The sequence below is a fragment of the Homo sapiens genome, chromosome 12 (genome assembly GCF_000001405.40).
Source record: "Homo sapiens chromosome 12, GRCh38.p14 Primary Assembly".
In the NCBI taxonomy this organism is placed as follows: Eukaryota; Metazoa; Chordata; class Mammalia; order Primates; family Hominidae; genus Homo; species Homo sapiens.
The window spans coordinates 26,629,497-26,643,089 of record NC_000012.12 but is presented as its reverse complement, the minus strand read 5'-3'; the positions used below and the strand labels follow the sequence as shown (position 1 = coordinate 26,643,089).

The 13,593-nt window shown below is 37.4% G+C and overlaps 1 protein-coding gene across 8 annotated transcripts in view; it reads left to right on the top strand.

Moving 5' to 3' along the window:
• The window catches only part of ITPR2 (inositol 1,4,5-trisphosphate receptor type 2), a 497,843-nt gene that overhangs the window by 190,105 nt on the left and 294,145 nt on the right, over positions 1-13,593 (top strand). For all 8 annotated transcript variants that reach the window (XR_001748686.3, XR_001748687.2, NM_001414174.1 and 5 more), the window contains one exon: positions 11,031-11,224. Coding sequence is in view for 6 of the 8 variants with exons in the window: in NM_001414174.1 (NP_001401103.1) it covers positions 11,031-11,224 (194 nt within the window). In the remaining 2 variants the exon portion in view is untranslated. The remainder of the gene's footprint in view (positions 1-11,030; positions 11,225-13,593) is intronic.

Sequence of the window (13,593 nt, the reverse complement as noted above, 5' to 3'; positions counted from 1 at the left end):
AATTTTTCTTGGGCATCTTTCGAAAGAGCCCTGGTCCCATTCATGAGGACTCCTCCTCCATGACCTAATCACCTCCCAAAGGTTCTACTTCTAACACCATCACCTTGGGAGAGAGTATCTCAATGCATGAATTTCGGGGGGACACAAACACAGGGGCTGGCAGTTGAGTGCTGTCTTCTGAGTAGCACTCCAGCAGCTTGGGGAGTAGACCTTCACTTCTGAAAGGGAATCTGGGCAGGAGCATCACAGCATCCACCACAATTATCTTCCTAGAAAATGCCCTGATTGGAAACATTTTGGGTCAAGACTAAGATCTTGTCTTGGTCCATTTTGCACAGCAGGCCTTTTTTGGAATGCTGTTTTTCAGATGCTGAGGAACATTTCTGTGCCATTGTCATGTTCTGAGTCTGGTTCTCTTGTCAGCTTTGTGCTATGCTGGCTGCACCTCTAAGTCCTTTCTGGATTAATGAGTAATATCTTTTGCAGAATGCCTGAGACTGGGTAATGTATAAGGAACAGAAATTTATTGCTCACAGCTCCGGAGGCTGGGAAGCCAAGGGTTGAGAGGCCAGCATCTGGCAAAGATCTCCTTGCTGTGTCATCTCTTAGTGGGAGGGCAAAGAGAAAGCAAGAGTGTGAGAGAGCAAGATAGCGCTAAACTTATTCTTTCACAAAAAACCCACTCCTGGGATAATGCCATTAATCCATTCATAAGGGTGGTGCTCTCATGACTTCAATACCCTTTAAAGGTCCCACCTCCCAACTTCACAACATTGGAGATCTAGTTTCCAACATGTGAGCTTTGGGGGACACATTCAAGTCATAGCAGGTGTCATAGGAAATAGAGATTATGGAGAAAAATAAAAATAAATTATAACATTTAAACATGTAATAAAATTCTAGACATGAAAACAATGGCTAGAAGCTTCCTATTTCCAGGTGCCCCAGAATCACTGGCATCAGAAACCTGCTCTAGGCAGCAAGCCTTTTGCAGGATGCTGTTCCTCAGGAGCTGAGAAAGATTTTTCTGTGCCATTTTGAAGTCCTGAGGCTGGTTCTCTCACCAGCTTTGTGCTATGCTGGCTGTGCCTCTAAGCCCTTTCTGGCTTAATGTGTAATGTCTTTTACTTTTCTGTTTGTTTGTTTGTTTTTTCCTTCTAAGCTTTTATAAGTTTTATAAAAAGTATCTGTATGACTATTGGACTTTCTTTTAGTTGTCAACGGTGCCTAAAAGGACTCTCCTCATTCCACCTCCCAGCTTTTCTCTGTGTCAAGAGGGTGTCAAACACATGCTCTACACTAGATCATGTTCCTTTTAAAAATCAAATGCACATAGTAAAGTAGGGGGAGAATAACTATGTAACGGATGCCAGGCTACACATCAGGCAAGGGATTTCTATGTAAAGGTATCTATTACTTATATAGAATACCTAGCACACCTCTAGGTCTTTTGCATATTTTTATTGTTAATCCTTATTGCAGTCCAGCGTGTCGGATATTATGGTCCTGATTGTGTCCAGGAAATAAGCTTTTCAACAGCTTATATACTTTGCCTAAGATCATACAGCTTGTATGTAGCTTGCTGGAAATTTTGAATTCAGGTTTCTTTTCTTTTTCTTTTTCTCTCTTCTTTAAAAAAAAAACCTACAGCTTTACAGTTGATATTCTTTCTATTATTATTTTATTGCTTTCTTTATACACAGTTGACTTCCTCATGTGCAAAGACTCTTTTCTACTTTTTCCAAGTTTCCCAAGAAAGTTCAGCACAATGTAGTACATATCTACGAAAGAGTTTTGATTTGGCTGGAAGTTATTTTTCAGGTCATATTAAAGAGAGATTTTTTTTTTTTTTAAACAAAGAATCACTCCTTTGTGAATGGTTGTTTGGCTTGTCTCAGAAAAGTTTCAATTGCAAGTCTTAAAAGTTTTACCAGCTAAAGATCTCTTGAAGCTAAGTATTCCTCTTCCTTTCCTGAAATAAATTTGATTGTTCTCTCTGACTCTGTGTTTTGACTCTTTCTCCACATTCCAACGTAAGGATCTTTCTAAATCACATACTCTACTTCTTTATTTAGCTCTCATCATCTCCAGAGAATAATAACTCAGCTCTTTAAATTGGTGCCCAAGGGTCTTCATAATCTGAGTTAGACATCTCCAGCTCTGTCTCCTGCTGTTTCCCCAGTAATACTAAGCAATTGTATCTCCTTCGACACCTTTCTGTGAGCTACTCATATGAGTATCTCAGATATACTTTCATATCTCACTGTCGTTAGGATGAATGTGTGTGACATGCCTTATAAAGCATTTATGCATTTGAAGCACAAAAAATATTTAGAGACCCTAATATTTCAAATATATACTTGTGTCTTTCTTAATTTTATGATTATTTTTCATAAGGTTGTCTTTTCCAATAGACTTATAGAAGACTCTATGGTTCTTAGAGTTACTACATAGATGATTCAATAACAGAGATTCAGATTTATTGACTGAGAGTATCATACTGGGGGGAAAATTATCAAAATAGATTCTATTTCTGGTTCTATGGGGGACTTGTACCATGTCTAATATATTACTATATACCTAATAGGTTTTCAAAAATATTTATTGAGTGAAATGAATTTAATATATGTAAATTATATGCTTTATACAAATATGTTTGAATCAAAACAATATTACTAGATTGTAACATTCTAAGTATATGTTTTTTTTTAATTAAATTTTTTTTTAAGTTCTGGGATAAATGTTTAGGACGTAGCGGTTTGTTACATAGGTAAACATGTGCCATGGTGGTTTGCTGATTGTTTTTCTACTCACATTGCCTAACTGAGTTAATAGGGCAGGATCAATCCCTAAGAATGACTTTACAAATAATGAGAATGACTGAAGAGGGTCATGTTGTTCTAAGCTGTCTACTACAGTTATTTTTCTGTAGTTATAAATATTGCTTGAGCCTCAGCATCTGATGTCTTCAAGTGTTAATACACTTGCATAGGCTCCCCAGTTCTCACAATCTCTGGTGACCTATGATAAGGCTTATTGTTAGAACCCAACACAAACTTATCGAATGCTGGCATAGACCCATTTGACTCAGCAATCCCATTACTGGGTATATACCCAAAGGATTATAAATCATGCTGCTTTAAAGACACATGCACATGTATGTTTATTGTGGCACTATTCACAGTAGCAAAGACTTGGAACCAACCCAAATGTCCAACAACGATAGACTGGATTAAGAAAATGTGGCACATATACACCATGGAATACTATGCAGCCATAAAAAATGATGAGTTCATGTCCTTTGTAGGGACATGGATGAAGCTGGAAACCATCATTCTCAGCAAACTATCACAAGGACAAAAAACCAAACACCGCATATTCTCACTCATAGGTGGGAATTGAACAATGAGAACACATGGACACAGGAAGGGGAACATCACACTCTGGGGACTGTCGTGGGGTGGGGGGAGCGGGGAGGGATAGCATCAGGAGATATACCTAATGTTAAATGACGAGTTACTGGGTGCAGCACACCAACATGGCACATGTATACATATGTAACTAACCAGCACGTTGTGCACATGTACCCTAAAACTTAAAGTATAATTTAAAAAAAAAAGAATGCTGGCATAGAAAGGAACCATATAAATTATCTATATAATATATGAGCTTCATATCTTCATGCAACACCCATTACAAATGGTCACATAGGATCTCCTTGAACACCTAGAGTGACCAAGATTTTACTTCCGCAAAGGGTAGGCCTTTCTTATTTTTCATAGCTCTAATTATTAGGTCTTTTTTGTTTGGTTATCCTATATGTAGACTTCCCTCTCACTTCCAGCAAGCAGCCTTACTTCTGTTGCTTGTTGAGCTGCACAGAAATACAACATCCCTTCCACATGTCAGGTCTTTCTGTGCTTGAAAATGGCTAGCACATCACCTGCGTCCCCCCTCCTCTCTGTATAGTCCTATGCAATTCCTGTAGCAGTTCCTCTTATGACTCAATCTAATTTATCACTGATTTGACTGGCACAGAAGCAAAGATGGCTACATTCGCCTCATTCTGAACCCTTTTATAATGTAGCCTAGGTGAAAATGAGTGTTTTGTTAACAATGACATAGTATTGATTCCTACTAAACTTGAACTCAACTAAAATTCTAATTTGTTTTCTTTTACATCACATTTTCCCACATCATGTACTTGAGTTGGTTTTCTTTGGCCCTAAGCATGTAGCACCTTTTATATTTTGAATTTACCATGTTGGATTTAACCTGTTATTTTCTTCCTATTTGTGTAGTTTTGGAATTTGGTAGAGTCATTCACTATATTAGCCATCCTCCCTTGTTTCATGTTATCTTTGCATTTGAGAAACATGCTATCTCTGACTTCACCCAAGTCAATGACGAAAATACTGATCTAGTCAAGGCAAGAACAAAGCAGCAAAGAACTAAAGGCCCTTCTGTGCTTTAACATTGATCAGTTACCCAGTATTCTTTGGCATAATCACTTAACCAAACTCATACCTATGAAACTCTACATTAGCCAATACATGTGTCTGTGGTGTGAGAAATCAAGAGCATCGTTGCCTTTGGTCGTGGGGCTGGGGAGAAATTTGGGGGGAATTGACTGTGAAAGGGCACAAGAGAGCTTTCTAGGGTGATGGAAATTTTCAGTAACTGGTTTGCATGTGGTTCGTATGGTATATGCCTTTATGAGAACTGCTCAAACCTTTCATTTATGATCAGTGCATTTCACTGTAAGTAAATTACATTTCACTTATGAAAACAGCATGTACATTCATTTATTACTTCCATTACCAACTATTAATCATTGAAGATCAGTTTTGCAAATTGAAATCTTGAGATTTGGAATATTGAAATGACTTTGTCAATATTTGACAGTGATGAAATCCAAAATAAGATGCAGAACACAGCCACTATTTTATATGAATTGCTTTTTCAGTTAATCCTTTGAATAACACTTCTTTAGTGTGTGGGATGTAAAACAGTTTTCTTCTAAGTAGTCTACTTGATATTCAATAAAAGATGGATAATAACATTACTACACTTTGGTTACATGCTTTTGGTTGGTTTTTGTTTTGTTCTATTTCTAAGCCCTTGTAAAGTTGGAATCTGTAAGCAGTCTATTAATACACTGTATTCAGTGGTGTTTTATTTAGAATGAAGAAAATTAGGTATCATATTATCTGCTTCTTCCATTAAGTATTCTTTATTAAACACTCTTCTGAAGGACATCTCCATTTAGAGTCAATATTGTGTTTTGATCATGCCGTATTATAAGACATTATGAACTATAATTATATGATGAAACCACATATTCATTAGTAAGGTGGTGACCACTATAATGGAACATAATTAAATGGAGAAGAGTTGTTTTTCAGAGGTGTAGCGAAAGCATGCAGATGTCCTCTACTTTTCATTTTTGAAATAATACCTTACAATTATATGGTACTTTTTTATTGTTCATGGCTTTTTTTGCACATATTATATAATTTTATTCTTACAAGAAGGCCCAACCTATTTTATAGGATTAAGATTTTGAACATAGGATGATGACATGATTTGACAAATATCACACTTCTGTAATCTAAATCTTTCACTTCGTTCAAAACCTCGTTAAAAATTGTATATCCTTTGTGAAACTGTCTTTCACTGCCCTCACTCTAAGATAATTTCCCAGTTAAAAAAAATTCCTAAGCAATTTTGTGTGCTGTCCATGCTATACTACTACCATCATATCTGTCTTGTACTTGTTCTTAATTTTTTTATGGGCACATTTTATGTTTTCCTGACCATATTGTAAATTCTTCTTCCTTTCTTATATCTTCCCACCTGAGATGTCCCTGGTATAGAGCCAGATGAACATTAGGTACTTTATGAATACTTTCTGAACAAGGGCTGCTTCTAAAATTAAATTGTATAATATAAGCAAAATACCACTGGTAGTATGTGGCACATGATATGTAATAAAAGCTGGTTGGGTAAGATCACTTCAGAATAATGTGAGCAAATTTATCATATGATTAATGGAAATTCTACATTTTCAGTACACAGTTTTAATTGGAATCTTTTCTTCTGTAATTGCATTAGGGCTTTCTGAATTCTAGTATAAAAATTTTGGAACTTTGTAAAGTCTGTTAGTGAACCAACCTGGTGTGGGAAAACATGATTCATGCTGAGATCAGTTGATGTGTACTTGAGACTCTGCCACTTCCTAGCTATGTAAACTGGAATTCGTCTCCCAACCCCCACCGTGCTGTGAGGATCCAATGAGGTGAAGGGTATATGTGGCCTGTGGTCTAGCAAGGTACACACAATATGATAAGCCCCTGATAAAGACAGGTTTCATTATTTTCCCTTATCTCATTGGTATCTATTTTATTAATTTTTTCCTTTTAATAAATTTTTAAGTAATGTGAAATTATGTATGCTTTTTGAAAAAAGGGAGAAGTATAAAGGAAAGTAAGCAAAAACTCAACTTGATGAAAGATGAAGTACCTTTAATGAGACCCAACTTTTTATATAAACCTTATTACAATAAGTCATTCTCATTTTTAATAGTTCATTTTGTTATCCAATCTTTGTTATTCATGCGTTACTTTGACAAACATTTATTAAATAAGAGTTGGGCATCGGACACTATTCCAGGTGTTAGAAAAAGGTAGACTCCCTGTCCTCATGGAACTCGTGTTTTATGTTGTTGGAGAGGGGGACTGCAATAAACACACAGACAAATATATGATATGATATGAGACAGTGTTAATGCCATGACCGAAATTTAAAGGGGGTGCATGGATTGAGAGTGATGGAAGTTCTTCAGAGAGGGTGGCCAGAAGAGGTCTACCTATGGAGGTGACATTGCACCACAAATCAGAAAGGAGTGAGGGAGCAAGTTGTGTGACCGTCTGGACACAAGAACACAAGGCAAAGTTATAGCAAGTTCCCTGTAGGTTCGGCACATGGAATAAAAACCATGCATGTATGTACTACGTAGAACTAGCTATCCAGCTTTCCAAAATACTGTGATCTTACTTGGAATTGGGACTGCTGGTTAGATAAAATTGCTTTCTCTGGCTGTTTAATCTTGATCTTCCCCTTAACCCAGGTTGCTACCATATTACCTACTGCTCTGTGGTTACTAGCTTAATTAAGGCTTTGATCTTATGCTAATGTTTTTGTTTTCTTTGCATACAGAAAAGTCCTTTTATAACCCAGACCCTCAGCCACTGGGAGGAAGTACTGCTCCAGGGAATGTTTGAAATAGAAAACTGCTCTAGTTCTAGAAAGTAAAGATATTTTCCAGCAAGGGCAGGTTTATAAGGAGCTGCTAAGCTGGGATGGGAAATAGGAAGACTTCCAGAATCATGTCTTCATGGTTGAACATCATTCGGTTTCAGATGAGTTATTATAACAGCAGATGCATTTATTCAAATCCAACTATTAAAAATATGTTTCAGGGAAAATAATAGTTTTTGGATTATCCATTTTTGGCCTCTATTATGATAAAACATTGAGCTGATTTTAGTAGTCATAGAACAATTAAATGACTGTGAACAATTATTCACAAAACTCTTAGAATCAAATGTGTCTGTTATCTCTTATAAATGCTGAGAATGTTTCAGAAATGTCTGATATCTAAACAACAAGAAAATTCAAATTATCATTTTCTTATGTGTTCATAAGAGAAAAGCATTTCTAATAAAAAGAGAGAATAAATATAACTTTAAATAAAATAAATACCAGCAGACTTAAGTAAATTTCAATCAATATTCTGTTAAATCTCTTACACCTGCTATAAATTCATGTAGCTGCTAGTGGTTGTTGAACCCAATAGTGTGATCACCACAGTAAAATTATTTCTGAATAGGGCAAAATTAAATTATGGTCAGCACAGCTGTAGTGTTAGGTTGGTTAATTCCTTATTGCTTTTCACTTTCCTGAAATGGGCAGTAGGAGCTTGGCTCACTGGAACAATCAAAGAACAAAGCAATGTATTCCCCAAGCATTCCCAGTTACCGCTCTCAGTATGCATTTGCTATACCTGTCTTTTAGATTTTTTTTCTTGAGGGAATTAAGGTTACTAAAAATATCTATGTAATCATATAATGAAAGAACCTGAAAAGTTGACCCGTCATTCTTTCTAAGCAGTCCCTTCCTTTTTTTTTTTTTTTTTTTTTTTTTGAGATGAAGTCTTGCTCTGTTGCCTGGGCTGGAGTGCGGTGGTGCAGTCTCAACTCACTAGTACCTCTGCCTTCCAGCTTCAAGCAATACTCCTGCCTCAGCCTCCCGAGTAGCTGAAATTACCAGTGCCCACAAGCACGCCCGGCTAGTTTTTGTATTTTTAACAGAGACAGGGTTTCACCATGTTGATCAGGCTGGTCTCATCTCCTGGCCTCAAGTGATCCACCCGCCTTGGCCTCCCAAAGTGCTAGGATTACAGGCATGAGCCACCGTGCCTGGCGTTTCCTTCCTTCTTACTTTGTACTTAGCAAAGATGACTTCCATATTTTCAAATTATCTCATTACACTTTGTACACAAATGCCAATTCTGGCTGCTGGGTTTATATAAAAGACACAGAAAAGCTGAATTTGTAAGCATTAGGTTGTTCAGAGAATTTATATTATAGTAGGCTTTTTCACTGAAAACTTTCCAGTCAATATTAACTAATTATGGTTGAGAAGTAGTACAATTTCTTTTTTTGCAATGTTGAGGATTAATCACCTCTGATTTATCTCAACAGTTTAGAATTAGAAGTTTTTCTCTGGAGGAATGGATATTAGAAGCTTTGCATGGCTGTGATTTATGCAGTGTCTGACTTCATGTTTTTCAAGCTGTAATGGTTCACAATTTTAGCACTTCTCATCACCACCAACCAAATCCAGAAAATGTAGCATTTTTAATTTGAGGCCTCTGAGCTGGCCATACATGGAAATGTCAAGTGAGGTTTGTGGCGACCACGTGCCACAGGCATCTGAGAATGTGGTATGACTGAGTGAACCCTCCCATTTCATTGACGACATGTGTTACAAATTACTATGGATCTGGCCTCTGGATTTTAATTCCTTGGTGACAGGATCTATATTTGGGGGAAAGAATTGTCTGGGCTAACTTTCTGTGTAGTAATCATTTGGATTAAAGGATTATTTTCCATGCAAATCTAAATAAGATGCAGACACTGTGGGTGCCAAGGATTTGTGTGTGAATCAGGGGTAAGAATAACAAAGGAGCCTGTTCTGTATTAGTAGTGAGAAAGCATCTCTTGGAGGCAAACACGTATACATACTTGAATCAAGTCTCAGATAAAGGTAGTGGTTAAATATCGATGGCTCAAAATCATTGCCAACAACCAGATGTGCCTCCCTGCAGTCCATGTAGCAAGCAGGGGGAGGGATGTTGAAATACTCAATTGCTATGATTGTTTGAGAACCACAGACAATGAAGCATTCTGCCTCAAGGCTATTCTGATAGAAAAGAGGGGCTGGCTCAAATCCTTTTGCCTCAATTTTGTCCGAACTTGGAAATTACACTTATATATACATTTTGTCGTGTTTTTTGGCTTATGCAAGTAGCAGTGTAATAAAAGGTCTCAGACCTTCAAAATGAAAACTTCTGCCTGGACTATGCCACTTTAGGAAAAATGTAACTTCTTTGTGTACTCTAAGATGTATTACTGAAGCACTACCCTCTTACACTTAAATTGATTCCATATACAGATAAGATAATGAATTTTCAAAGGCATTTTACCTTTTCACAATGTACAGATAATAGTCTTTACCAGTGGCTTAATGGTAATTGTGGTCTGGACCATTCAGATTCTCTTGTCATCTTTTACATATTTTCTTTTTATTTGTTTGCCTTTCGATCCTGTAGGTATTACCATGGTTTACATTCTTCTCTTAGAGCTCAGAGTTTTTTTTTTTTTAATAAAAATCTCATCCCATCTTATTTCCATTTCTCTTTCTCTTGGTTTACGCCCTGAGACACTGAGGGAAAGGAAAATTCTTAGCCAGATTCTTAGGCCTTTGCTTAAGGCAGAGCTCCATGAACACCCACGAAGCAAAGACCACTGTTTGGAAAGGAATGGAGACAGCCATTCTTTTGCATCCTTATTGCTTCCTGTGGGAACTTAGAAGTGAGAAGCAGCATTCAGGCTGGAGAACATAAATTGTCATAGTGTTAAGGAGGATCCTTGGATACAGCTATTTGTGGTCAGTGTAAGGAACGTGTGCATGATACGAATGATGACATTTTATCAGCAAATAAAGGAGAAGCCAAATTCAGAAAGAGACGGAAAGAGCGTGATCCCTCCCTCATTGAAAATGATCATGTTTGTCACTAGCTTGTTTCCATAATCACCTCAAACATTATTGCTTTCTGTGGATTTTGAGTAATGGTTTTCTATTCAAATTGGATGAAGGAATGGGAAGTGTATTGGCTAATGCATATGTCTTCCCCAGATGAGACTATTTTTTCTTAAAATAAAGGTAACAGTCCTCCTCACAAGCTCTTTTTATAAGTGTTATGAAAGGAAAGCTAAAAAATCCCTGGTTTGAGGATCAGATTATGATGCTGGAATTCAATATCTAAATGTTTTTAGGCAGTCTTTGTATCCCCACTTGCAACTCACTTTATCTTGGCGATTAGTAATCTTCTTTTGCATTATTGTAAAAGCAAGGGCCTATTGGTATGACAGTTAGTAGGACATACTGTGTTACAGAAGGACCTGATTTGGATGTTAGAGCAACCTGCTCACCTTTGTTACATGATTTGAAAGCATTTTCTGAAAAAGGAAAATTTCCATTTTTAAAAGTTGTCATTTTGAAACATGTCTGCAATATCTTAATTTTATCTGTAAAGAAAGAGCCCAAACAATGCTTATGCTATTCTGTCTTATCCTGAATCCTTTTCCTGGCTGCTTTTCAGTGTGGTTGTGACTAACTGAGTTTTATAGTTACATGATCTCCAGGGGTTGTGTGTGTTGACTTACGGCATTTTCTCATGCCAGGAAACAATGTGATGAGAACCATTCATGGGGTGGGAGAGATGATGACCCAGATGGTACTCAGTAGAGGCTCCATCTTCCCCATGAGCGTGCCGGATGTGCCACCCAGCATCCACCCGAGCAAGCAAGGGAGCCCCACCGAGCACGAGGATGTGACTGTGATGGACACCAAGCTGAAGATCATTGAGATTTTGCAGGTGTGTTGCCTAACAGAAGCTAGGTGACAAAGATGTAATTTTGCTTATTGATTTAACTTCTTACCCTTTTTGTTCCAAATCACTGTGTAAATATTCTGAAATGCTATCAATATAATTTTATTTTTTTAAGTTAATGACAAACCTGGTAAAAAATATCACACAGACGCTATTTAACATATGAATCACATTTGTCCATTCCCATTAAATATACTAATGATCATATCTAACAATTGTGGGGTGCTTTGAGGTTGATAAACTGCTTTCATGTGTATTAAAAAAAATTAGTATTGTCCCTGATGGAACTTTACCTTCATTTGAGAAGGATTTCAGAGCAAGCAAAGTTATTGATTAGTTTCCAGCTCTTTTCCTATTTTTAATTGAATTGAACATGTGATTCCATATATCTAGATTTATTGTTTTAGCAAGAAAGACAAATAAAATTTTATTTCTTATTAACAAAAATTATTAATCATTGGTTTTGGTATTTTATATGTGACAATCCCTCTCTGTTTTTGTTTCTAAAGGACAAAGGAATAACTAGAAAAAATAACCTAGTCTAATGCCTAATTTTAAGAATTTAAAGGAGATAAATTATTATTTCATGCCCATTGGTTTAGTGAATAGACTTCCCATTACGAGAGCTATAAATTCTTAGCAGTTTTTAAGTTTGAAAATACCTTTTGTGATACCTTAATTATAGCATTTATTCCAGATTTGGAGAATGGAGTTTGAAGTTTTCAAGTACCTATTAGGAATCTAGGTACAGTTTACTGTGTCTTTCATCATAATTTAATATAGACTGAGCTACCAGAAGTGGGTTAGTAGTCCTTTAAGGGTCTGTACATTGTTCATTTAAAGTAATTAGATTTATAATCATAAAAGGTTTCACAGTTCCTCTAGGAATTCCAAAGGCTGAATCCTGAGAAATATTGGCAGGCCTCCCAATGCTGTGTTCATGACCCTGAAAAATCGTTTAAAGTTTTCCTGTTCTTAAACTGAGAAAGATAGCGATCACCTGACCCATGGACCTACTGATCCCCAGCTTACCATCACCTGACTCATGGGACAAACTCTAAAATACGTGACCTCATTTTAGCCCACATTTACAGAAAAAAAGCATTAGAAAAACAATCTCCAACAGCTAAAAAAGGATGAGATGGAGCTTCTACGGCTCAGCAGTCCGGGGCTGATTCATTTCTGCAGCGTCTCCTTGAACCGCTATTCACTCTGATTTTCTATCCCTGTGTCTGGGCCGGCTCCACCGTGCGTATGTGTCTGAGTACTGTTTCTGAATGTGTCTTTCTTGGAATGGCTCTTCAGGAATTTCTTTGTAGCCCTACTCCTTGGTGCTACAAGGACTTCAAGGTCCTGTGCCTTGTGCCAGCTCCTCTCTTCCCCCTGGGTCTTCTTTTTTTTTTTCCCCCCCATCACTTTGTGTATCTCTCTCAGCCTCTCTCTTTTCATTTCTCTCTCATTCTCTCTCTCTCTTCCTGGCCCTCTCTTAATTCTTTTTCTCTGCCTTTGTTTTTATCCTTCCCTTTCCTCCTTTCTTTCTACTTTCCACTTGTTTTTCCTGATTAGGCGTATTAGAGAAATGAAAGTTTTAATTTTGATTGTATTTATGGAATACAATGCTGCATGTAAACATTGTCAACTGAAAGTTAGTTTCATTTGTTTATGATTTATCCTTTACTTTAAAAAATAGGATTTTAAACACCCTTCCATGTGAAGCATCTGCAGTCCAGCTCTGCCCCCTGCCTTCTGCTCATGGTTACCAAATCCCATGCCCTTTCTCAGTCCTCTTTTCCCATGAGCTGTCTCCTGCCCTGCAAATCCCTTTGCTACCAAGAATCAGTTCAATCAATATGTGTTCCAGCCCTCACCACACGTTCTTAAGAGTCTCTGGTGTTTGTTTTCCCCTCTAGACTGTAAGTTCTTCAAAGGCAGGATTGAGATCCTTGGCACCTTTTTATGCCCTTAGTGCCTTCCTCAATGCCTTGTTTAACGCATGTCTGGTGAATTAACCAGCTGAGTACAGCTGACATGGAGGATGTGTCCATAAAAAGCATAAAAGTCTAGCAAAGGCTGGGTGGGTCGGGGGAGGAGAGAGAGAGAGAGAGAAAAAGAGAAAGAGAAAGAGAGAGACTGAGACAGACGAGGACAGAGAAAGGGAGGGAGGGAGGAAAGGAGGGAGATTGATTCAGATTGTGACTGGGGAACCAGTGAAAGCTGCGTTAAAAAAGAATTTAAACTGGAACTTGGAGGATTTTTTTTTTTTTTGAGACAGGGTCTTGCTGTGTCACCCAGGCAGAAATGCAGTGGCACAGTCTTGGCTCACTGCAGCCTTGAGGTCGTGGGTTCAAATGTTC